Source organism: Homo sapiens, chromosome 5, assembly GCF_000001405.40.
Source record: "Homo sapiens chromosome 5, GRCh38.p14 Primary Assembly".
NCBI classification, from domain to species: domain Eukaryota; kingdom Metazoa; phylum Chordata; class Mammalia; order Primates; family Hominidae; genus Homo; species Homo sapiens.
This window is the reverse complement of record NC_000005.10, coordinates 126,948,842-126,972,801: the sequence shown is the minus strand read 5'-3', so window position 1 is coordinate 126,972,801 and position 23,960 is coordinate 126,948,842. Positions and strand designations below refer to the sequence as shown.

General features: G+C 37.4%; 1 protein-coding gene across 3 annotated transcripts in view, besides 2 other annotated features; it reads left to right on the top strand.

The window, feature by feature from the left end:
* Positions 1-23,960, top strand: part of MARCHF3 (membrane associated ring-CH-type finger 3) — a 162,845-nt gene that overhangs the window by 57,757 nt on the left and 81,128 nt on the right. The window lies entirely within an intron of this gene.
* Positions 179-228: an enhancer, noted in NCBI's record as "active region_23030". NCBI's record gives its function as "activates an Ori minimal core promoter by ATAC-STARR-seq in GM12878 lymphoblastoid cells {active_cell/tissue: GM12878}" and the evidence as "EXISTENCE:reporter gene assay evidence [ECO:0000049][PMID:35858748]".
* Positions 249-338: an enhancer, noted in NCBI's record as "active region_23029". NCBI's record gives its function as "activates an Ori minimal core promoter by ATAC-STARR-seq in GM12878 lymphoblastoid cells {active_cell/tissue: GM12878}" and the evidence as "EXISTENCE:reporter gene assay evidence [ECO:0000049][PMID:35858748]".

Genomic DNA, 23,960 nt, shown 5'->3' with positions numbered 1-23,960 from the left:
CTGTTTCAACATCCAGGGTCTAGACATTGGACTTCCTTCAAACAAGAGGCCAGTGAGAATAAATTTGAGCATGCAGTTGTTAAAACCACTCTCTTCCTCCACGTAGCTCTTGACAGCAGCTGCAGAAAATGAAACCTGTTGGGGGTGGAAGTGGATGGAGGTAAGGCAGTCTCAGATGGGAGGAATATGCTGATAGAGGAATCTGACCCTCAATTAATGAATGGCATCAACACCTTTCATGTTGAATGGCACACCCGAGGCCTGGGTGAGACAAGCAGGGAGAGAAGAGAAAGATCATATCTTGTTAATTGACCTCATCTCACCTCCTCCCCCATAAAAGCACATGACTTGTAACACAGAACTTCCTTTAATTTCATCAGACTACCTTGCCCAGAAACGAAGCACAGTAGTGATTATGAATGAACAGATACTTTGCCCCTACCTCTTGCCATTATCTCTTCCATAAACTTACTTAGGGAAAGCTAACATGAATCTCACTTCCTGGTTTTTAGGGGGTGATTTGAGGTTCTGGGAATTTTTTTTTTTTTTTTTTTTTAGTTCTTTAATTTTAAGCAGTCAAACACTCTGTTCCAAACAGAATGCAAATCCCACTCGTTGTACTCCTAACTTTGTATTATAAATGTTGGACTCTGTGAAAGCAGCAAGAGTAATGGTATAACTGGTGTGGATAATGACAGCTTTTGGTCTTGGAAAAGAAAAAAATGAAAAGACTTGTTCAGAATTGCAGAGCCAGGGAGTCTGGCAGTTTTTTCTCATATTTCTAGGTGATAGACAAATTGTTAGTTACCACATGTATAATTTATTAGTAATTGCTCTAATTTGCCTCCTAAGTTTCTAAGTTGCCGGTTCACTGAGATCAACTGTTTTGTACCCATAAAATAAGAATCATATGGTAATTTAATGAAGTAGCTAGCCAGTTAGCATGGTTTCTGTGCAAATGCAGTATTACCCTTGCAATTTAGAAAAGGGGGAGAGGAATAACAGTGTCAAACTTCTTAGAAGCCTAGTGACTAATTGTCACTTACTGGGATTAAAATGCTACACCCACATTTTCCTCTTGTGGACATATGGACACTAAGATAACTGTCTTTCCTTTGGGTTGTGTTGCAGTCTCTTTAAAACAAAATGCTTCCTTCCTCCTGGGAGCAGTGTAAGAGCTGCTGAGTGAAGGAAGCTGGATCCCTCCCATGGGTGATCTCTGGGAGAGAGGCCTAGAGCCTGCTAATGAAGTTAGAGCACAGCTTAAGGTACAATAGACCTGCTGCAAGGATGTTGGGGATAGGGTCAACATAGAACATTTGTTTTTTCTTTTCTTTTTTTTTTTTTTTTTTTGAGACAGAGTCTCGCTCTGTCACCCAGGCTGGAGTGCAGTGGCGCGACCTCGGCTCACTGCAACCTCTGCCTCCCGGGTTCATGCCATTTTCCTGCCTCAGCCACCCGAGCAGCTGGGACCACAGGTGCCCACCACCACGCCCGGCTAATTTTTTGTATTTTTAGTAGAGACAGGGTTTCACCATGCTAGCCAGGATGGTCTTGATCTCCTGACCTCATGATCTGCCCGCCTCGGCCTCCCAAAGTGCTGGGATTACAGGTGTGTGCCACCGCGCCCTAGCCTGTTTTTTCTTCTTAAAGCAAGCATTCTACTTCTCTCCAAACGTAATTAGTTGACTTCAGGTATGGCTATAAGAACATAAATGCAAAAATTTCTTCTTATGGCCAGACTGTCAGATTTCTCTCTGTTCTTGAATTTTCTCAACCTACCAACAATAAATTGTCTACTTATCTTTTAAACTCAGGAGCCAAACAAGCAGAGTCCTCATTCTGCTTCATGTGACATCAGCAAGACTGAACTCTCCTCTGCTTGCTGTGCTCTGTTCTTGCTGGTTTGTAAGTGGCAGCAATCATAAGAGGCAGGAACACAGCTTCCCATTTGTTTTTCAGGTTTAAGCTGTGGTTTTGGAAATGACAGGAAGTAGGAAAATGAAGCTTTTGGCTGGCCTTTGAAGAAACTGGAAGTAGAGGTGACAGAATACATGCGGATTGCTCTGGACCTTTTTGGAAAATCACTCTTTTGCCCAACACAGTTGGCAACCATCCTGGGACCGATAAAATTCCTTTGCACTTCATCAGAATTTAACTTTGGCTTAATCTGTCAAAGTCACAACCACATCTCTCAAGAGTACCATTTGGCCACAAGTCAAATACATTATCACAAACACATTAGATGTTCCTGAATAGCATTCCTAACCCATAGCTGATGTCCACATTCATCGAGCAAGATCAAATACCAAAAGAAAAAAAAAAAAGAAAAAAAGTAATTTAATCCATGCTAATTTTATTGAAATCAAGACACTTTCCTAAGTGGACAAATTTTTAGAAAAAGAGCATAAGCCAGCTGGGCGCAGTGGCTCACACCTGTAATCCCAGCACGTTGGGAGGCTGAGGTGGGTGTATCATCTGAGGTCAGGAGTTCGAGACCAGCCTGGCTAACATGGCGAAACTCTGTCTCTACTAAAAATACAAAAGTTAGCCAGGTGTGGTGGCATGTGCCCGTAATCCCAGCTATCTGGGAGGCTGAGGCAGGATAATCATTTGAACCCGGGAGGCAGAGGAAGCAGTGAGCTCATATTGCCCCACTGCACTCCAGCCTAGGTGACAGAGCAAAACTGTCTCAAAAATAAAAAAATTAAAAAAAAAAGAAAAAAGAAGAAGAAAAAGAGCATAAGCCTGGAACCTGAAATGACATCACCAATGGTTAGAAATTTTAATGAAATTGGGATACTTACAGCCTCTTGAATTTCTCAGTAGATTATTATCATATTCATCCCCAAGGAGAGTCACCTAGCTTCATGTTTGCTTGGTCAATGTTTGGTAAGCACCAGGGCGAGATGGTTGGCCCATGTATCTAAAGTAGTGCTACTCAGAGTGTGGTCTTAGGGCCAGCAGCATCTGGAAGCCTATTAGAAATGCAAATTAATGGCCCCACCCCAGCCTCCTGTAGCAGAATCTCTGCAGATGGGGGTCAGGAATCTGGGTTTTTATAAACTCTCCAGGTGATTCTAATGCTCGCTCAAGTTTAAGAACCACTGGCCTCACATCTCCAGAACAAACTGTCAACCAGCAACTGATGGTTTGTGGTTATGTCTGCAAATGAAAGAAGTGCAGCCATCCATGCCATCCTCCCTTGGTTGGAAACTAAGTCCCAGCTGCTGATTTTTGCTTCCTTTTCTCTACATTTCCAAATACCTGTGTTAGAACTGTGGGGCTCTATACATAGAAAATGTCTTAAAATAACAGTCTGTGTTTTTAAACTTGGGACTGTAAGGGGCTCCTCCTAAACATGTTTGGAGTATTTTATTTTGCTGATACTAGAAGCTGACCATTTACCTAAATAGTAATATACACCTTTCCAGAATCAGCTCTCTGGACAACCCAGCTGTCTGCTGCAAAAGAGCAAAAAACCCTAAAGTAGACCAAAAAAAGTTCCAATCATCCAACATATATATGTTGGGTAAAATTGTGCATCAAAGCTCATACCTTTTTCTAAACTCTTGGAGGCCATCAAAATCTACTCACTCTTACTTTCTAAAATTAGTTGTACCTTAGAAGTACATAAGTTTTTTAAAAATTCAGATGCATAAGAACTAATTGTAAGAGCTAAAATATAAAACTCATAAGAAAACACATGTAAATCTTCATGATCTTGGATTAGGCAATGGTTTCTTAGATATGCCACCTAAAGCACAAGCAATGAAAGAAAAAATAATTAAAATTTGAAACTTTGTGCTTTAAAGGACTATTTCAAGATAGAAAGTGAAAACACAGCCCATAGGATGGAAGGAAATATTTGCATATCACTTATCTGAAAAGAGTCTAGTATCCAGAACATATAAAGAATTCTTACAACTTAATAGTTGAAAAAAATAGGCTAGGCACGGTAGCTCACACCGGTAATCCCAGCACTTTGGGAGGCCTGGGTAGAGTTCAAGACCAGCCAGGCCAACATGGCGAAACCCTGTATCTACTTAAAATACAAAAATTAGCTGGGCTTGCTGGGGTACACCTGTAATCCCAGCTACTCTGGAGACTACACACGAGAATCACTTGAACCCAGGAGGTGGAGGTTGCAGTGAGCCAAGAACCCACCACTGCACTCCAGCATGGGCAACAGAGCGAGACTCTGCCTCAAAAATAATAATAACCCAATTGAAAACTGGACAAAAGATTTGAATAGGCATTTCTCCAAAGAAGGTATACATATGACCAATAAGCACATGAAAAGATGCTCAGCCTCTTTAGTCATTAGGGAAATGCAAATAAACACAATGAGATGCCATTTCACATCCACTAAGATGGATAGAATCAAAAAGATAAACAATAACAAATATTGACAAGAATTTGGAGAAACCGGAACCCTTATACATTGCTGATGGAAATGTAAAGTGGTGTGGCCACTTTGGGAAATAGTTTGGCAGTTCCTCAAAAAGCTAAACAATAGTCACCATATGACCTAGCAATTCCACTCCTAGGTGCATACCCAGTAGAATTGAAAATGTATGTGGAAACAACCCAACTGTCCAACTGATGAATGAACAAACAAAATGTGAAATGGTCAACCATGAAAAGGAACAAAGTACTGGTGCATTCTACAACATAGATGAACCTTGAAAACATTAAGCTAAGTGAAAGAAGCCAGACACCAAAAGCCACATATTGTATAATTCCATTTACATGAAATATCCAGAGTAGATAAAGCCAGAGAGACAAAGTTGATTAGTGGTTGCCCGGGGCTGGTGGAAGGGGAGAATGAGTGACTGCTAATGGGTGTGGGGTTTCTTCTGGGGTGATGATAATGCCCTGGAATTAGATAATGGTGATGGTTGCACAATGTTGTAAAATGCTAAAAACCACTGAATTGTATATTTTAAGAGAGTGAGTTTTATGATGTGTTATATTAATTATATCTCAATTTTTAAAACACAGGCAGCAGGTTGGATGTGGTCTATGGGGTTACAGTTTGCCAATCCCAGCTCTAGTGCAAAAAAAGAGGAGGGGGCAGATAGATGAAAAAGGCTGACAAAATGTTTGAGACAGAGTCTTGCTCTTGTCACCCAGGCTGGAGTGCAATGGCAGGATCTCGGCTCGCTGCAACCTCCGCCTCCTGGGTTCAAGCAATTCTCCTGCCTCAGCCTCCCAAGTAGCTGGGATTACAGGTGCCGGCCACCACGCCTGGCTAGTTTTTGTATTTTTAGTAGAGATGGGGTTTCACCATGTTGGCCAGGCTTGTCTCAAACTCTTGACCTCAGGTGATCCGCCTGCCTCGGCCTCTCAAAGTGCTGGGATTACAGGCTTGAGCCACCGCACCAGGCCTAAATGTTGAGTATTTTTGAAGCAGGGTGATGAATATGTAGTGGTTCATTACACTGTTTTCTCTACTTTTACATTTGTTCAGACACGCACATATTTTTACAAGAATCGCATATCGTGTATGCCAAATTAGATAATAGAATCACCAAGGATGGGGTCTGGGCATCTGTAAGTTTTAACAATTTTCCAGTTGATTCTTTTGAAACCAATCAATTGCTGGATTGAAAATCAATAGCTGGGGATCACTGTTCTACATATAGTTCTGTTAACTTGATTATCTTAGCAGATTAAAAGAGAGGAAAACAACTCCAATAGAAAAACAAATAGGAGTGTATACTCCTAGGGTGATGGGTGCGCCAAAATCTCACAAATCACCACTGAAGAACTTAGTCATGTAACCAAATCACCTGTTCCCCAAAAACATATGAAAATAAAAAATTCTTTAAAAAAAGGAAAATAGGTAATAGCAAAAAAAAAAAAAAAAAAAAAAAAAAAAAAAAAAAAAAAAGGCTCTCACAGCCCAACAAGAGAGAAACAGAAAAGAAGCAAATACAAGAATTTAAAGAGCTCAGTATTCTAAGGCCACTGTTAGCATAAAAGCAAACAGCCTCTGTGCCGTAATAAACTTTGAAATCATCACTGTATTACAGAATAGCACAACTTTTGATATTCCTAATGATGACCTGGAGGCATTCAGAGAGGATTAAATATGTTCAGTAAATGGTATTTAAGGTATATGGAAGTAAATATTTATTTTAGAAGATAGCATTTTAAGAATGCTCCTTTCTTAAAACCTCAAATATCTAGGAAATCTGATTCACCCAAAAGATGGTTTAAAAATCCTTAATAGCTTTATTTTAAAGTCTTCTAATTTTTCCACTTGACATTTATAAACAAAATTCTACCTTGCAACTAAGGAAAAATAACAGGATATAAACATCCTTTCTGAAACAAGCATTGGATACAGAAAACTCTTGGGGGATGGAGGGAACTGAGATGGATGAGATTGTTTTTGTTTCTTAATGTATACTGCCTTCTAATCTTATATTTTTTAAAAAATCAACTTTATTGAGATATAATTTACATATAATAAAAATTTTTAAGGCTATAAGTTGAATGCTTTTGACAAATGTATACACCTGCGTAACCATCATCCCAATAAATATATAAAACATTTCCACCTCCCCAGAATTCTGTGCCCCTTTGCAGTCAGTCCCCCACCCAACACCCACTTTGCCTCCAGGAAACCACTGATGTGATTTCTGTCACTATTGATTAATTTTGCCTCTAGACTTTCATATAAGCAGACTCATGCTGTAAACATTCTTGTGTCCAGCTTCTTTATGTCAGCATGATATCTATGAGATGCATCCATGTTGGTGCATGTTGTTAGTAGTTCATTCCATTTTATTACTGAGTAGTAATTCATTACATCAATATACCACAAATTATTTATCCATTCACCTGTTGTTTCTGTTTGCATGAATAAAAATGCGAAAGTCTTTCTTATGCACATAAGCTTTTATTTCCCTTCAGCAAATACCAGTATTGGGTCATATGTTAAATATATGTTTAACTTTTTAAGAGACTGCCAAACTCCTTTCCCAGACAGTTGCACCATTTTATACTTCCACTAGCACAACAGTACCACTTAAAATCCATGACCTTGACTTACAAATTGGTAGAGAGAAAATCCTCTCTTTCTCTCTCTCAGTGGTTTCTATCTCTCACTGACTCACTATTTTGTGTGCTGCTTTAGGCACTTCACCTTGTACTTAGGTAAACCTTCTCCCATATGTTTCCAAACTCATTTTAAGGTTCAATCAGCATTAATATTAATATGCTATTAATAGAGCAACTAAAGTTTTAAGCCTAAAAAATTTTCCCCCAAATACTAATAGCTAAAAACTGTCTCTAAAGCAGCATTTATTTATGTTTCTAATGAGTAGGCAATGAATGTGATTGAGTCCTTGACCATTCAACATCTTGGCAGTTTTTGTGGTTTACTCTTTTGAATGTCAACTTTCTGTGGAAGTCAGTGCCACCGTTCATGAAAGAGGAACAATACAGTTCAGTGATGAAGAGCTCTAGCTTAAAGAAGTGGTCAGACCAGTGTGAGAACCTTGGCTTCTTTCCATGGGCCCATTCTTTACTTTAATAGAGCATTGGTTTCTTCATCTGTAATCTGGGGAGTAGGGGTCATTATTATCCATGTCTCATATGATTGTTATGAAGACGATGATCTCATTTATGTAAAGCCTTTGGCAATGTTCCTGGTCCATATTTATTGCTCAAGAAATGGAAGCCTTAAGAGAGGAGTCATCATTAGAAACACATTCTAGAACACAAGTGTTCTAGGATGTAAATTCCCTCTTTTTTTTTTTTTTTTTTTACTAAGAACATGTTTCTTCTCTCCTTTCAGAAGTCAAGAAGGCTCCCATTTCATTAGCTTCTAATAAGCCCTATCTTTCTCAAAGTTATTCCCTCCTCCCTACCTACAGGGCTGGCTATTAGGAGGGAGGAATGTGATTCTTCTCTCACCAGGGTCTAGTCTTGCTCACTTGCCCAGATGCCTGTTCCCAAAACTGGCTCACCATGTTGTTGTCTGCTTCAGCTGGTTCAGCTGGTCTCACACTGAAACATCCTACTTCTTTTCAGAACTTGGCGTTGACCTCCCATATGCTCAGAAGACTTACCAGACCTCTGGGTTGAGAGATTAAGATGTATCTGCAATGTGGACCCCAGCCTAGGCTGTGAAATTTCCCTGACCTCTTTTCTCTTGAAAAACAACCATAGTAGGACAACAAGAAAAAAACTCACTGGACTCATATCTTAAAATTTCAGAATATCATTTTTAATTTACCAAAGGCATGTACCATAAGAAAGGGAAATTGCCGAGGCTTAGGCCTTCCATTTAAAGACCATTTTGTAAATTTGCACTTGCTCTTAGGGCCTTTATGGAGTTGCTAGTATTATATCTTCCCAAGTACTGAATCTGGAGAAATTGAAGTCTGTCAGGAGGTGAAAGAATCATACCAATAAATAAGCTAATTAAGAAATGTAATGTGTTTATGTATATCCAGCAAGTAGAGCAACCAGGGAAACTCAGGATGAACCAGCCTTGTGACATCAGACTACTCATTTGAACATCCTATTGAGGCAAATTTTGTTATCCTCACCTTTGTGTGTGCTGTGTTTTTTGATCTGTGGATTTAGTTCCACCTTCAGGCCAAGGATAGATGAGGCATAGCCAGGAGGGGGAAGAGAAAAAGAATGCAGAGGTTATGGTCTGGCAGTGTTAGGGTGAAGTAAAGCTAACCTTAGCTCAAGATCTTTCTGACTTTGTCAAATACCCTACAAAGTATCAACTGAAGATAGGCTGTCACCTCTGACCACATGATCCAAGCAAGCAGCTAGCTCACTCAGTCCCCTTAACCAGAACTAGTGAATGTATGAGACAAATACGGCCCATGGTAGGAGCGTTTATGACTCTCTCAGCCCCTGATGCTTCCCCTTAGGTGGGTTCTCTGTTACATGGAGACTAAGAAAGAATGACAGAGATTTCAGTGAATTATGTGAATAGACTTTAAGAGTTTAACGTCAGTACTCTTGATATTGTGACATCCTAATCTTTTTGTTTGTTTTCCTGACAGAAGAGTGTATACCAATTAAAGAAGAGTCAAAATCCTCTACTTGCTCTTTTTCAGCTGCTTAAAAACCCACCAGATTTTTTCTTAATTTACCAATTATAAAGCTAAATTTAAATTTTTGTCAGCTTCTATTTCTAAAAAATGCTTAGTATCTTAGATCCAATTAATCTTGTCTTAGCTCAAAGTATAAATAAATCTCTGTAGCAAATATCTCTTACGTCATGCAGAAGATGTGAGTGCTTGGTTTTTTGTTTTTTAAATTTTCTTCTTAAATGTAGCATTTTTTAATAACACTAACGTTTTAATGATTTTTTTCTCCTTGAAAATGTTGACTGTTTAAGATTGGTCAAATCTTCTATTTTGGTTTAAATGGGTATTACCATTAATATTGTCTGAATTTTTCCTACAAAAATAACAAACATGATGTATAATTACTCTAGTTTATCTTTTAAAGAAGAATTGTATTATTTTAGGGTCTGTTCTTATAATTCATCAAAAATATTTTTGTAACAATTCATAAAAATGGCTTATCTTCCAAGGAGACAAACTATAAGACTGGTCATTCTTTGCTCACTTGTTTCATAAGCTAAATAAAGAGGGTTAGAAAATAATAGAAAAACTCTATTGAGTGGCTACTCAGTGCTGCATACTAGGCTAAACATTACATACATTATCTGGTAAGGCTTACAACATGCTATAAGCAGTGATAGGTGTTGTTATCATCTTAATTTTGTATATAAGGAAAATAAAGCTTAGAGAACGTCAAGTTGCCCACAGTTACACAGGCAGAAAGAAAACACTTTCTCATGAAAAAATCATTATAAAATGGAGTCGATAACAGGTTACAGCATCACAAGTGCATATTTGTTTTATTATTGTTGCTACTATTGAAAACATATAGTTATACACACACACACACACACACACACGCACACACACACACACACACAGGTTGAGTATTCCATATTCAAAATGCTGGGACCAGAAGTGTTTTGGATTTCAGATTTTTTTCAGTTTCTGGGATATTTGCATATACATAATGAGATATCTTGGGGATGAGACCTAAGTCTAAACATGAAATTCATTCATGTTTCATATACACTTTATACACATAGCCTGACATTAACTTCATATAATATTTTAAATAATTTTGCACATGAAACAAAGTTGTGTATATTGAACTATCAGAATGCAGAGTGTCAGGTATGAAATTTTCCACTTGTGGCATCATGTCAGCAATGAAAAAGTTTCCTATTTTGGAACATTTTGTATTTTGTATTTTCAGATTGGGATGCTCAACCCATATATAAATAAATATATGTAAACACACACACATACACACACACACATATATGATTATTGTTAATAGAACATTAGACTGGAAGGGAATGACCATAGCACATTAATCCCCTCATTTTCCAAATGAAGAAATTTAGGGCCACAGAAATGAAATGACTAGCCCACAGGGACACAGCCAGTTAATTGAATTTCAAAATCAATCTGCAGAGATATATATATATAGAGAGAGAGATATATAGATATAGATATATAGGGTGTGTGTGTGCCTCCTGAGTTCCATGAATGTTTACCAAAAAATTTCTTTCCTAGGTTCTCACATTGTAAAACTATCATGTTAATGTCATAGACCCATATATTTGTTTCTTCACATGATGCTTCCTCCCTAACTCTGTAGGACAAAGAAATACACTGCATATTTATGTTAAGTTTTGCAGGTGCCTGTTTGTTTACACTGTGAATGGGTAACCATGGTTGCTTCAGCATTATCACTCTCAAGCTTGTCCATATAATTGTGTAGTGGTATCACTGGGGTTGTGAAACAACCAGTAATATTCTTCTTTGTGTTTATATTTAGTAGTGACTGTTAATGGTGTGATTATAGGATGTAAACAAGCTCCACCTAGAGTGAGCTCAAATGACTCAGTGACTGCCTGGGGGCCGGTTGCCCCATGCATATTGCATTCAGAAATGAAAATATCCAGCGTAGACAAGTTTATTATGACTATAAATTTGACTTCATACTATTACTACTTCAAGCCAAATTACATATGTTTGATGAGGCATAATTTCTTATTAGATCCAAAGAATACCAGGGCAGACTACATTGCGATGGAATTATAATTTGAATTTTAATCATTTTGTTCTTTTCCAAATTCTGACTAATGAAATAAATTCAGTACTGTAGTTACACAAATGAATAGGGGACAGCATAGGACAAAAAAGGAACAAATTGTATTGCTTATCATTAATATTTTTTATAAACATAAGCATAACTGTTGGCATTTATTCCTGCCCTTTTCATCAGCCTTATGGTGGTTGCTTCTGAAAGACAGATGTCTGAGTTTGGACATCTCTGATTGGGGATTGAACACCCCAAATTCTGCCCTCTCACGATTCTCTGAAATTTTATTTTGATAACCTCTATGCAAATCCTTCATGTAGATCAATGTTCCTCATTTTTGACAAAGAGAATGTGTTGAAACCTTTTCAACAAAATATCTTTTGTGAAGAGGGGAGGGAATTGTAGGAAGGACCTGTGTTTGTGCTTGCTATATTTCTCCCTTTTCTTCAGTACTTCTGGGATTCAGACATATGAAATAAATGTTTACAATAAAAGATGCCATTGAATACATGAAGTCATAGCTGGAATTGCCTCTAACACCTCATCTTATTATCTGTACTAAGTACACCATCAGCTGCATTTGTATAATATAAATAATAGAAGCATGGAGTTACCTGAATAATGAGCAATTTCTCCTTAATTCTAACTACTTTTAATTCATTCTAGTGAGTACTTAGCTTCTAATCAGAATATTTATTGTCTGATCATTTTTCTAAATCACAATTACATATTTGTGTATATGAACAATCAGAGTTTCATAAGGGTTAAGGAGTCAGGTGAAATAAGCCAGTGGAAACAAGATGATATATAATTTTTAATATTAAAAGTATGGTATTTGCCACACTGCTAGACAGTTCTCTCTTTTTTAATGCATAAAAATGGCAAAATATCATTGCTGTGAATGTCTTGAGAGTCTGGTGTCTGGCTATATACTGTTTTTCTAAAGTATTTAAGTCATCAAAACAGTAGCAGGAGGTCATTGTCTAATGTTACTTTACAGCTGGAGGCAGGCAGATCAGGAAGATCTTAGATTCATTTTACAAAAAATGTTCACATGGGAAAATATTAATAAGTGTTAAAAAATTAAAAAGAAAAGTTTTAGGGTTTGCATTAAACAGGAATAAGATTTATACTCTGCTTCTGTAAGGGTATTGAATATCATTTCAATTTGCAAATATTGATACAACTGTCATTATTTTCAAATTGCGACAATTTTGAGTTTTCTTCACTTGAAACATTGTCCCAAGGGGCATTATGACTATTAAACTAATCTTTATTCATGATTTATACAGCCTGAACTCAAATCTCTGGAACGAAATTAGTAAATCATGTGTCAACTGAGAGAATAGCAGAAACCGTAAACAATTTGATGAACAATTTCTAGGTGAATGGCACCACTTATGCCAACTTTTAGTTTATGGAAATTTTCTATGTAAGATATAAAAACTCTTAGGACCTCCTGGAAACAGTAGAAAGTCACGTTCTTGCTGGATTTACTCCAAGATGGGTTGAAACCAGGCTGGATCAAACCGTTGTATGGACCGTTGGAAAGATAATTAGCAGGGAATATCACACAGCTTGACTTCATAGCATTCTAAAACTCTAACTCAAACCCCTCCTGCTGCAATTTATGCCCATTTCTTCTTGCGGTTTTCTCAGAGGAGCTCTTAGAGCATAACTGAGTGCCTTCGGTGGAACTATAACTAACTAATAACCTAGGAGACAAAGGTACATTGGTAATTAGTAGAGGAAGTGCTGCTGGTCGGAATACCAAGCAATGCTTACTGTCTATTAGTTACTGAGTTGTTTTCCATGGAGGTATAGTAATTACGGCTTTAAGAACATTCAAAAATTATTGGCCGTGATCATTTAAGGTGTGATTATTTTCTAAATAAACTCTTTTTTAGAACAGTTTTGTAGTGACAGGAAAAAATTGCTAAGATATTACAGGGATTTTCCCTATTCCTTGCACCTTCTTTCCCCTATTATTAATGTCTTACATTAGTGTGGTATATTTGTCAGAACAAAGGACCAAGATTGATGCATTATTATGATATTAGCTAAAGTCCATACATCATTCATATTTACTTAGATTTTACCTAACATTCTTTTTGTGTTTCAGGATCCCATCCAGGAGCCTATGATACATTTAGTTTTCATTGCCTCCTTGGACTCCTCTTGGCTGGGATAGTTTCTCAGACTTTCTTTGTTTTTGATGACCTAGATAGTTTTGAGAAATGCTGGTCAGCTATTTTGTAAAAAGTCCCTTTTTTGGGACTGTTTGGGATTTGTTTGCTGTTTTTCACATAAATAGACTGGGATTATGGATTTAAGGGAGGAAGCCCATAGAAGTAAAGGGCTATTTTTCATCACATCATATCAAGGAAACATACTACCAACATGCCCTATCACTGTTGATGTTGACCTTGATCACCTGGCTGAGGTAGCGTTTGTCAGGTTTCTTCATAGTAAAATTATTCCTTCCCCCTTTCCATACTATAGCCTTTGGAAGAGATGGCCTATACTCAAGGAATAGGGAGTTACGCTCCACTTCCTTATGGTCAGTGTTGGTCAGTGTCCACATAAATTATTTGGATTTCATCTGCACAAGAGATTTGTCTTTTCTCCCCCTTCCCCTTTATTTATTCAATCATTTATTTAAAGCAGTGTGGACTAATGGGTATTCATTTTATACTTTGGCAATAATATAATACTTCACTTATTTCGTTACTTAGATTGTTCCACTGTTGGTCATTAGTGGTAGCTCATTCACTTGGATCCTATGTTGCTTTAAAATAGCCCCATCATTGTGGAGTTAGGTTTGTTTTAATTGCACATTACACTTAAAAATCAGTCAAATGGCCGTTGTCAACTTGTCTCCTCTGTGTGCCAGGAATCAATCAATTTCTATTCAAGTAAACAAGTGGCATTTTTAAAAAAAAAGTCACATTTGATTATTAACTAGAAGAATATTCAGTACCCTTGATCTGTCTTCTATATACTTCCCAGTCCTGACACCCTTTTTGGATTCAAAGATTAATTAATTTAAAGGCAGTGATGAGCAGATTAGATCAGAAGTAACTAGGGACCTAGAATGGAATATGAAGAATTAGATCATGAAAAAGAAAAAATACAGAATACAAAAGCAGTGGGCTTTTAGAAGTTTAAGAAAATTGAACTCTGTAAAGAAAAAGCTTTAATTCAAGAAAAAGTAAGCAAGCTAGACCATTTATTAAACTAATATACATCTTAATATAATCACTTGTCTTGGCCAGAGAAACAATATAGAGGACGGTTAATGGTAAACTGGAAGCACCTTATTAAAATCAAGTAACCTTATTAAAATGTAAAACAAGACAAAGATATTCCCTGTCATCATGATCATTCAGTATTATTCTGGAAGCTACTGCCCATCTAAGAAACAGAAAGCAGAGAAAAGGAGGAGAAAGATAGCCATGATTTGTATGTTATATTTCTGTTTACCTAGAAACTTAAAAGAATCAACACAAAGTAATAAATAAAAATTTGATAATAAAAATCTGTATACAAAATAAAACTAAAATCAATAGCTTTCCCGTGTATGGGCAATAAGTAGTTATAACATGTAATGGGAAATGTCCCATTTACAAGAGTATAAAATATTCAGTAATAAATCTATATTTGGAAAACTAAAATACTGAGCAAAATAAAAGAAAATTTGAATAAATACTATGTTCCTAGATGAGAAAACTAAATATTTGCAAGACACAATTCTTTCTATATTATTGTTCAGCTTAAATACATTTTTAACAAGGTAACAATTTTAGATGATGATTTTAAAAATATCAGGAAGGATAAACAACAGAAATGATGAGTAAAATCTGAGCACAGTAATGTTGGGAATCTTCCTCTACCAGTTATTAAAAATGAATTATAAGTCTATAATAATTTTTAAATGTGATGTTTTACAAAAATAGATTAATGAAGCAGAATCTAGGAACAGATTCAAGTATGTATAAGAATTTACTACAGATAAAGATGACATATAAATAAAGAAGTTATCAAAAATAAGATTGATCCAATTGAGAAACCATTGGGAGAAAATGAAAGTTACTTTTTAACATCATGCAATACACCAAAATAAATTACAAATGGATTGAAGGTTTTATGAAATCATAAAGCTATAGAAAAATCTAGGATGAGTATTTATCTGCACTTGGAAGTACAGGAATGATGGAAGAGACTGCAGAAAAAATGATTGATAGGTTTAACTTCTAAAGCTTATGTGTCAAATAGCCTGTAAACAAAATTAGAAGACAAATAACTGAATGTTTTTAAAGTTAAACATATGTGACAAAAGGTTACTATCTTTAATATATACATGGAATTCTTAAGCACCACTAATAAAAAGGCAAAAAATATAACTCAATAGGAAAGTAAGGAAAAGACATGAATAGACAAATAAAAAAGACTAAATACTATGGCCAAGAAACGTGATAAAGTTTTAAAGGAATATTTATTACTTAATGTATATTTACTAAAATGTTTATGTCAAAAAAAACTCTAATAAAAGAATACCATTCTTAGCCGGGCACAGTGGCACCATGGCATGTGCCCATAGTCCCAGCTACTCAGGAGGCTGAGGTGGGAGGATCACCTGAAGCCAGCAGGTCCAGGCCAACCTGGGCAACATAGTGAGACCCCATATTTTAAAAAGAAAGAAACACCGTTCTTAACCTGCCAATTCAAAGAGATGTTTTAAATGATAAAACCTAGTCATGACAAAGATTTGGTGAAATGGGCAGTTTCGTTCAACTACTGATGAAAGTAAAATGTTCACAGAAAATGGAAACTTTTAGTGAGGAAGGCATTAGTGGAAAGTGGATTGGGATGCAGGTTAAGATCTGAGTTCAAGCTTTCTGGGTTTTTTTTTGTTATTGTTTGTTTTTTTGTTTTTGTTGTTGTTTTTTTGGTTTTTTTTTTTTTTTTTTTTTTTTTTGGAGACAGAGCCTCACTCTGTTGCCCAGGCTGGAGTACAGTGGCGCAATCTTGGCTCACTGCAACTTCCACCTCCCAGGTTCAAGTGATTCCCCTGCCTCAGCCTCCCAAGTAGCTGGGATTACAGGTGCCCGCCACCACACCTGGCTAATTTTGTTTTTTTGTATTTTTAGTAGAGACAGAGTTTCACTGTATTTTCAGGCTGGTCTCGAACTCCTGGGCTCAAGCTATTTGCATTCCTTGGCCTCCCAAAGTGCTGAGATTACAGGCGTGAGCCACCATGCCTGGACCTAGTTCAAGCTTTCTAATTGTCTTGCTGTGTAAACCTGAATGGGAAATATAAGATCTCTGCATCTTTGTTTCTTCATTTATAAACAAAGAGGCTTGGTTTAAAAATATCTTCAGGGTAACTGAAGACAAAAGAAATCGTTAGGTTGCGGTACAGATGGACAATTTGAGGACTAGAAGAAAACTGTTTAAAAACAGGTTCTGACAAAAATCTGAGACCTATTCATTTTAACAGTGTAGAAACTCCGAAAACAATCTCCAAAATGTATGTGGGAATTTGGCATAGAGTAGACAAGGCATTAAAAATAAGTGGGAAAAGAAAGGATTATTTAATAAGTGATTTAGTTCTCTTCATGAAAAAGAAAGGTAGATTAATGTCTCATCCCATACAAATGGATAATTTTAAATGTATTAAGGGCCTGAGTGAAAAATAAAACTTTAAAATTATTAGAAAGAAATGCAGGCAAATATCTTTATGACTGTGGGGAAGAGATTATTTCTCAGTCGGTACACAAAAAAGGACAATTCATAAAGGAAAGATTACACTAAGAAGTAAAACTATTTTATGCAAAAGCCTCTATGAGTAAAGCTAAAAGACAAACTCTGAACTGGAAAAATATTTTTTCAACACATAAAGCAGAAAAAAACGTTTCAGACTATATAGTCAGAGAATCCTTACAAATCAGTATAAAAAAGACGGACAACTTACTACAGAAATGGGTTGCAAAGGATACCCTCAGGCAATACACAGAGGAGCGGATTTAAAGAACCAATAAACATAAGAGATGCTGACCTTACTAACAATTAGGAGAAATGCTGGCTGAAACAAAAACTACCCTTTCTCGCCCTTCATAATGGCAAAAATAAAGAAACATGACTGTCCAAATATTGGGCCGGATGAACGAAACTGGGCATGTAGTGTGGTACACCACTTTGGAAAGCAAGTTGGCAATACCTGCTAAAATTTGAAATGTGGTCCATAACCAAGCAGTTTTACCACAACAAATATTTCCCAAAGAAGCACTTGCAACAGAAGCCCTGTACAAGGATGTTCACTGAAGCATTTTTTTTGTCATGATGAGACCTAATGTCTCTTAATGGAGAGATGAAAATAAATTAGAGTATGTTCATATTTTGTTTCCTTCATTGCTGTGCTCCCAGCCACCGGAACATTTCTTGGAACATTGCTGATGCACATAAATATTTGTTGAATGAATGAATATGGTGGAACCCACATAACAGTTGAAAATGAATAAATTAGATCCATATGTATCAACATGGATAGATTTCAGAAACAGCGTTGGGCGAACAAAGTGACTTTAGAGTATGGATGTTATGGTACAATTTTAATATGCATAAAATGATACTATATGCTGTTTATAGATGCCTATGTGTAGTAAAAATATTAAAATGTACTGAAAAACACAAAAATTATAATGCCAGTTGCCTCTGGGAAGGGAAAGGAAGGCAGGATTTCTCTAGGAAAGAGAAAGAGGAAAGGAGAAGAAGGAGGGTAGGCATTGGGAAACAGGAGACTTAAGTTTACCTCTGTGGCCTTATTTCTTTTAATAAGAAAATTCATCTGAAGTACAAATGACAAAATGTAAACTTTTTTTAAAATTCTGAGTTGTAAATGCATGAGTGCGCTCTATTTATTAAACTTAAAAAAAAAAAAAAAAAGAAACTGGGGCCAGGCATGGTGGGTCACGCCTGTAATCCCAGCAATTCAGGAGGCTGAAGTGGGAGAATCACTTGAGTGCAGAAGTTTGAGACCAGCCTGGGCAACATAGGGAGACCCCTCTCTACAAAAAAATTTAAAAATTAGCTGGGCATGGTGGCACATACCTGCAGTCCTACCTATCCAGGAAGCTGAGGCAGAGGGATTGCTTGAATGCAGGAGTTGGAGGCTGCAGTGACCCATGGCCATGCCGCTGCACTCCAGTCTCAAAGACAGAACGAGACCCTGTCTCAAAAAAAAAAAAATTGTATCCATAAAATTAGAAGAGGTTAGGCCGGGCACGGTGGCTCACGCCTGTAATCTCAGCACTTTGGGAGGCCGAGGCGGGCGGATCACGAGGTCAGGAGATCAAGACCATCCTGGCTAACACGGTGAAACCTCGTCTCTACTGAAAATACAAAAAAAAAAAAAAAAAAAAAAATTAGCCGGGCGTGTTGGCAGGCGCCTGTAGTCCCAGCTACTCGGGAGGGTGAGGCAGGAGAATGGCGTGAAGCCAGGAGGCGGAGCTTGCAGTGAGCGGAGATTGCGCCTGGGCGACAGGGTGAGACTCCGTCTCAAAAAAATAAAAATAGAAATAAAAATAAAAATTAGAAGAGGTTACTACATAAATGGGAGTAAGTAATAAAAGAGTGGAAATTAAAAATATGATGGATTATATTAAAAATTCATTTACTAGGTTTAAAATAAAGTCAAGTAAATCTCCTAGACCATTGAACGAAAAGATAAAAAGGTAGAATATACAAGAGAAGATTTAATGGGCATAGACATCCAATCCTAGAAGTCCAACATCTGATTAATGAGAGCGTCAGAAAGAGCAGACAAAGGGGGAGGAACAAGCAATTAAAGAGATAATAGAACATTTCCCAGAGTGGAGGAAAGGCAAGAGCCTTCAGATTAAAAGGCAACTCCTTATGAAATTTTGAACACAAAAGATAAAGATGTGATGCTAATAGTATTCAGAGGGAGAAAAAGTTACTTACAAAGAAGTAAGAATCAGAGTGGCATTTTACTTCCATATTGTATAGCAATATGACATTAAAAGAATTACTTCAAATTTCTGAGGGAAATTTTTTGAACCTAGAACTTACGTACCATTGAGCCATTCATCAATATAAAAGCAGAATAAAGATTTTTGGAAATCCTTTGGAATCAAAGATTGTGATTTTTTTTTTGGAGAATGTTCTCTAACAAAGAAAACAGGGAACCCAAAAGAGAGAAAGAATGTTATTCAAGCAAATATTCATCCTAATCTCACAGAATACAATTTTTAAAAATCCTAGGGTAGTGGCAGGTTTAGAAAACAGTATGTGTGAATTACAACATGAAGTTTGAAAGCAATAGGAAGCATGTCTTCAAGAAGAACATGGATTTTCTGCCATGATTTGATTAAACAGTTCAATGAAATTAAAGTGAAATAATATGCTGTTTTTGTCAACAAGAAAAAAAGGCAATTAGAACTGCCTGGAAAAAACAAAAACCTTCATAAGAAATCTGTAGTGCAACTATAAAACAAATGAAAATGTTTTGATTTTGAGCAGCTTGTGGAATATACTAAAATAAAAACAGACTTGACCTTGAGGTTTGGAACATTTTCCCTCAAGCAACACCATTAAGAGACTTTGCATCTCCTTCTCTCAGGGTACAATTACACTACTTGGTTCTGAAGCAAATAATATCTATAGAATCATAATATTGAAATGTTCTTTGTTTTCATTTTCTGGAATTTATTTCTAGAGAATCTGTGGAAGACAATTAAGATTATAGGCAATTCGCGTTATAAACCTTAAGAATGCAAAATTAATTATATGGCTAAGAGGATTTGGGTAATAGAAGAAGGAGGAACAATGGAGGGAAGTGAAATAGGGCCAGTTTCCCCAACTGAAGTAATTGGGGGTGGTTAAGATACTGTCCCAAGTTGATGGATTAAGAAATAAACGTTTAGGCATATTATTTAAAGTTATAAAGATAGCAAAGGCCTTAAAAGTAAAAAAATAAAAATAAAAATAACAAAACGTGGGGAAAGGAGGGAACAATGGTAAAAAGCTAAGTTTCTATTAATTTTAAATTTCGTAAAGGACAGGAAGTTAATAGATACTACTTAAAATTGATAAATCAAGAGGAGATAAAAGCACCACCAGAAGAACTAAAATCAAGAATTGTTACAAGAGGTTACCAGGACTAGGTATAGTGTATAAAATGGAAATGTTAAGCCTCCATTTATACCACCCTTTAATGAGTGAATTTGCATTATTATGAGAATATACTACCTTTATAAATTTTGAAAGAGAGATTTTTAAAATGTAAGGTTTCCTCTGTCTCTTGCTCATTCTCCCTCCCCTCCCCCTAATAAAAAGAGTCTAGCTAGAAAAAATGCAAGTTTGCTGTCGAAGCTGGTTGTTTTGTAACTTGTGTATCCTTCTTACAGGGTAGTGGGCCTAGATTACAGTTGTACCAAAACTCAAAACCCTACTGAGGGCTGGGCATGATGGCTCACATCTGTAGTCCCAGCACTTTGGGAGGCCAAGGTGATCAGATCACCTGTGGTCAGGAGTTCGAGACCAGCCTGATCAACATGGTGAAACCCTGTCTCTACTAAAAATACAAAAATTAGCTGGGCGTGGTGGTGGGCGCCTGTAATCCCAGGTACTTGGGAGGCTGAGGCAGATTAATCGCTTGAACCCGGGAGGCAGAGGTTGCAGTGAGCCGAGATAGTGCCATTGCACTCCAGCCTGGGCAACAAAAGTGAAACTCTGTCTCAAAAAAAAAATAAACACCTACAGAGGAAACACTGAACAATGGAGAAAAATGTCCAAAGAACTCAAATGGAAACATTAAAGGTCAGTGCCTTACAGACAGAGCTGTTGTGTACATCTAATCTACTCTTGGCTGGATGCATGAAACATCACCCAAAAGCAACAGGGAAAAGATGGGTCCCATGAACTTAGCCAGCAGAGAAATAAATGGGCTCAAAATGATTTGAGCGTGGGTACAGAGGTATAATAACAAAGATGAGACTGTACACTCAAGTTCATTGCTCACGCTCAAGTTCATTGGAAGGATGGAGATGCCGCTGACTGAGATGAAGATGACTGCAGATAGAACAGTTTTGTTGGGGGTGGTGGATTCAGGAGTTCAGCTTTTAACATGTTAAATTTGAGAAGTCTCCACTCGGCTACATGGAGATGTTAAATAGACAGTTGGACATACAAGTATTGAGCAGAGAAGTCTGGGATGGAGATATAAATTTGGGACTAGCCATGTCACTAATTATGGATCATGAAGGGAGTGAGTCTAGATTGAGAGGAAAAGAAGACTATGGACTGAACCCTGGGGCCCTGTAGCATAAGATGATAGTGAGAATGGGAGGAACTAGTAAAGAGCATCAGTGAGGTAGAAGGAAAATTAATCAAGTGTGATGTTCTGGAAGCCAAGTGAAGAAAGTGTATCGCAATAGAAAGAGAAAACAATGAGATCATATGCTGTGGCGAGGTCAAGTAAGATGAGGACTGTTGGATTTAGCAACATGGAATAACTAGCGAACTTAACAAAAACAGTTTTGTTGAAGTGGTGGTGGCAGAAGCCTCATTGGAATGGGAGTAAGAAAGAAGGGAAAGGTATAGAAGGAAACTGGAGGGAGATGGATAAGTTCATTGTCTTGATTGTGGTGTGGTCTGATGGTGTTTACATATGTCAAAACTGATCAAATTTTACACTTTATATTTGTGCAATTTAGGATATTTTAGTTATACCTCAATAAAGCTGAAAAAGGTAATAGGAGACAAAAATGGAAAAGCCTTCTATTTCAGGGAGATTTGCTGTAAGGGGAGAAGAAAAATGAGGTGATAGTTATAGAAAATCTGGAGTAAAAGAGGGGCTTTTTTGAGGTGGAAGAAATAACCAGATATTTGTTTGCTGTTGAGAATGGTCTAATAAGGAGAAATTGATGATGTTGAAGAGAGGCAGAGTTACCAGAGTTAATCCTTAGAGTGGATAAGTGTGTAGAGGGAAGGGATCTAGTGCACAAATGGGAAAAGAAGAACCCAGTGGTTCCTTTGTGATAGCAGCTGGAGAGGCAGAGTCAATAGAGACAGACACCAGTAGATGAGGAGGTGGGGTGGCGAGAGTCTGTGGAAGTTCTCTGTGGATTCTTCCACTTTTCTCCATGAAGTGAAAGCAAGCTTATCATCTGAGAGTGTGAGGATAGGGAAGAAAGTATTGGAGATTTGAGGGGAGAAATGTCAACATGAAATTGTTGTCGAGAAGAGTGAAATATGAATGAAGTGAAGAATGATTGCTGGGCAGCATTAAGGGCTCACTGAGTCTGTGGTCATGAATTTAAGGTAAGACCATTCAGTAGAGTCATATGTGTTTCTTCAGCCATGATCAGTAGCAGGAGTGCAGGCATCGAGTTGACAGAGTTGGATCCTGGTTTTGCCAGGAAACTAGACAAGAAGCTGTGGGTGCACACAAGAGGTTGATTATAATGATGGGCCACTTGTTTAAACTGGGTCAGGAGGACATCAAGGGGCTGAGGAAAAGCAAAAAATGGGTAGGATCAATATTGGAGGTCCTGGGGGAGTCAAAAGATTATTGGAGTTGGGGTACTGGAGGGAGTGAGCTGGAAAGGTAAGTAGTAGACAGAAAGTGGGACACATGATGTAGTATACCATTATATGGTTATACAGATTTTGTCTAACAGCTAGGACCCCTTTGGAAGATAAGCTGATAGGATCACAGAAGCTATCTCTTTTACTTCTGCCACTCCTTATTTTTTGGTCATTGATGTTTTTCCCTGAGTTCCCAGGAATTCCTGCAGGGTTCAATTCCTTCCTTCTCAGATCGCCTAATCCCAGCCTACCTTTGTGAGAACATTTGCCTCTCTGATCCCAACTCCCTAGCAACATCTGCTTTTGAATTATGCTGGGAATTCTGCAATTCCTTTGACAACCAGGAAGGAAGTAAGGGGAAACCAGTTCACTGGCCACATGTCTGTCTCTCCAGGGCCTCCTAGGATGTATTCCACTTTGTCAAGGGCTGGGTCTCAGATGAAGGGTTGCTGGAAGGGAGAGAGATGGAGTATTTTCCTTTTACAGCGAGGGTTCTAGCTCCCTGGTCCAGGAATGCAAAGATAAAAGGTTTAGGTTTTTCAGGATGTATTAATAGCTCGACATTTTGAGGCCTCTTGCTGTATGGAATGTGATCTGTCACTTTGCCCTAGAAGATATTCCACATTTTCTGTTTCATCAGAACCGCTAGAAATGTTATTTGTAGATATACCAGCCATTTGGTGTCCTCATATTTTTCTTGGTTTAAATGATCTGTGTGTTATGATCTTTAATGGGATATCAGTTTAACAGGATAATTAAATCCATTAAGGAGGATTAATTTGAGATTTCATATCATTTATTAGCCTGCTAGTACCTTGTTTTCTTTAGCATATGTTCATGTAGGAGTTGGCATTTAGACTTGAATGCATTTATAACTGTGTTTGCCTCCTAAACAATGTCTTTTAAGGTATTTCCTCCATTGGGATTTCCTTTTAATGAAGTTAAAATTCTACTCAAAAGAATGTTTATGCATATATCATAAGCTTTGTTGATTACTAAGGAAGTTTTTTTTCTTGATGGTAAATATCCTCCCTCCTCTCCACATGCCCAAATTGTTCACCCTCCCACCTCCACCACTGTAGGCCGACAAAGGCACACTCACAAAGACACAGGGGACAAATGCTACCTATCCAAGGAGCCTGCTTTCACCTTCCTCAGCTCGCACCTGCCAG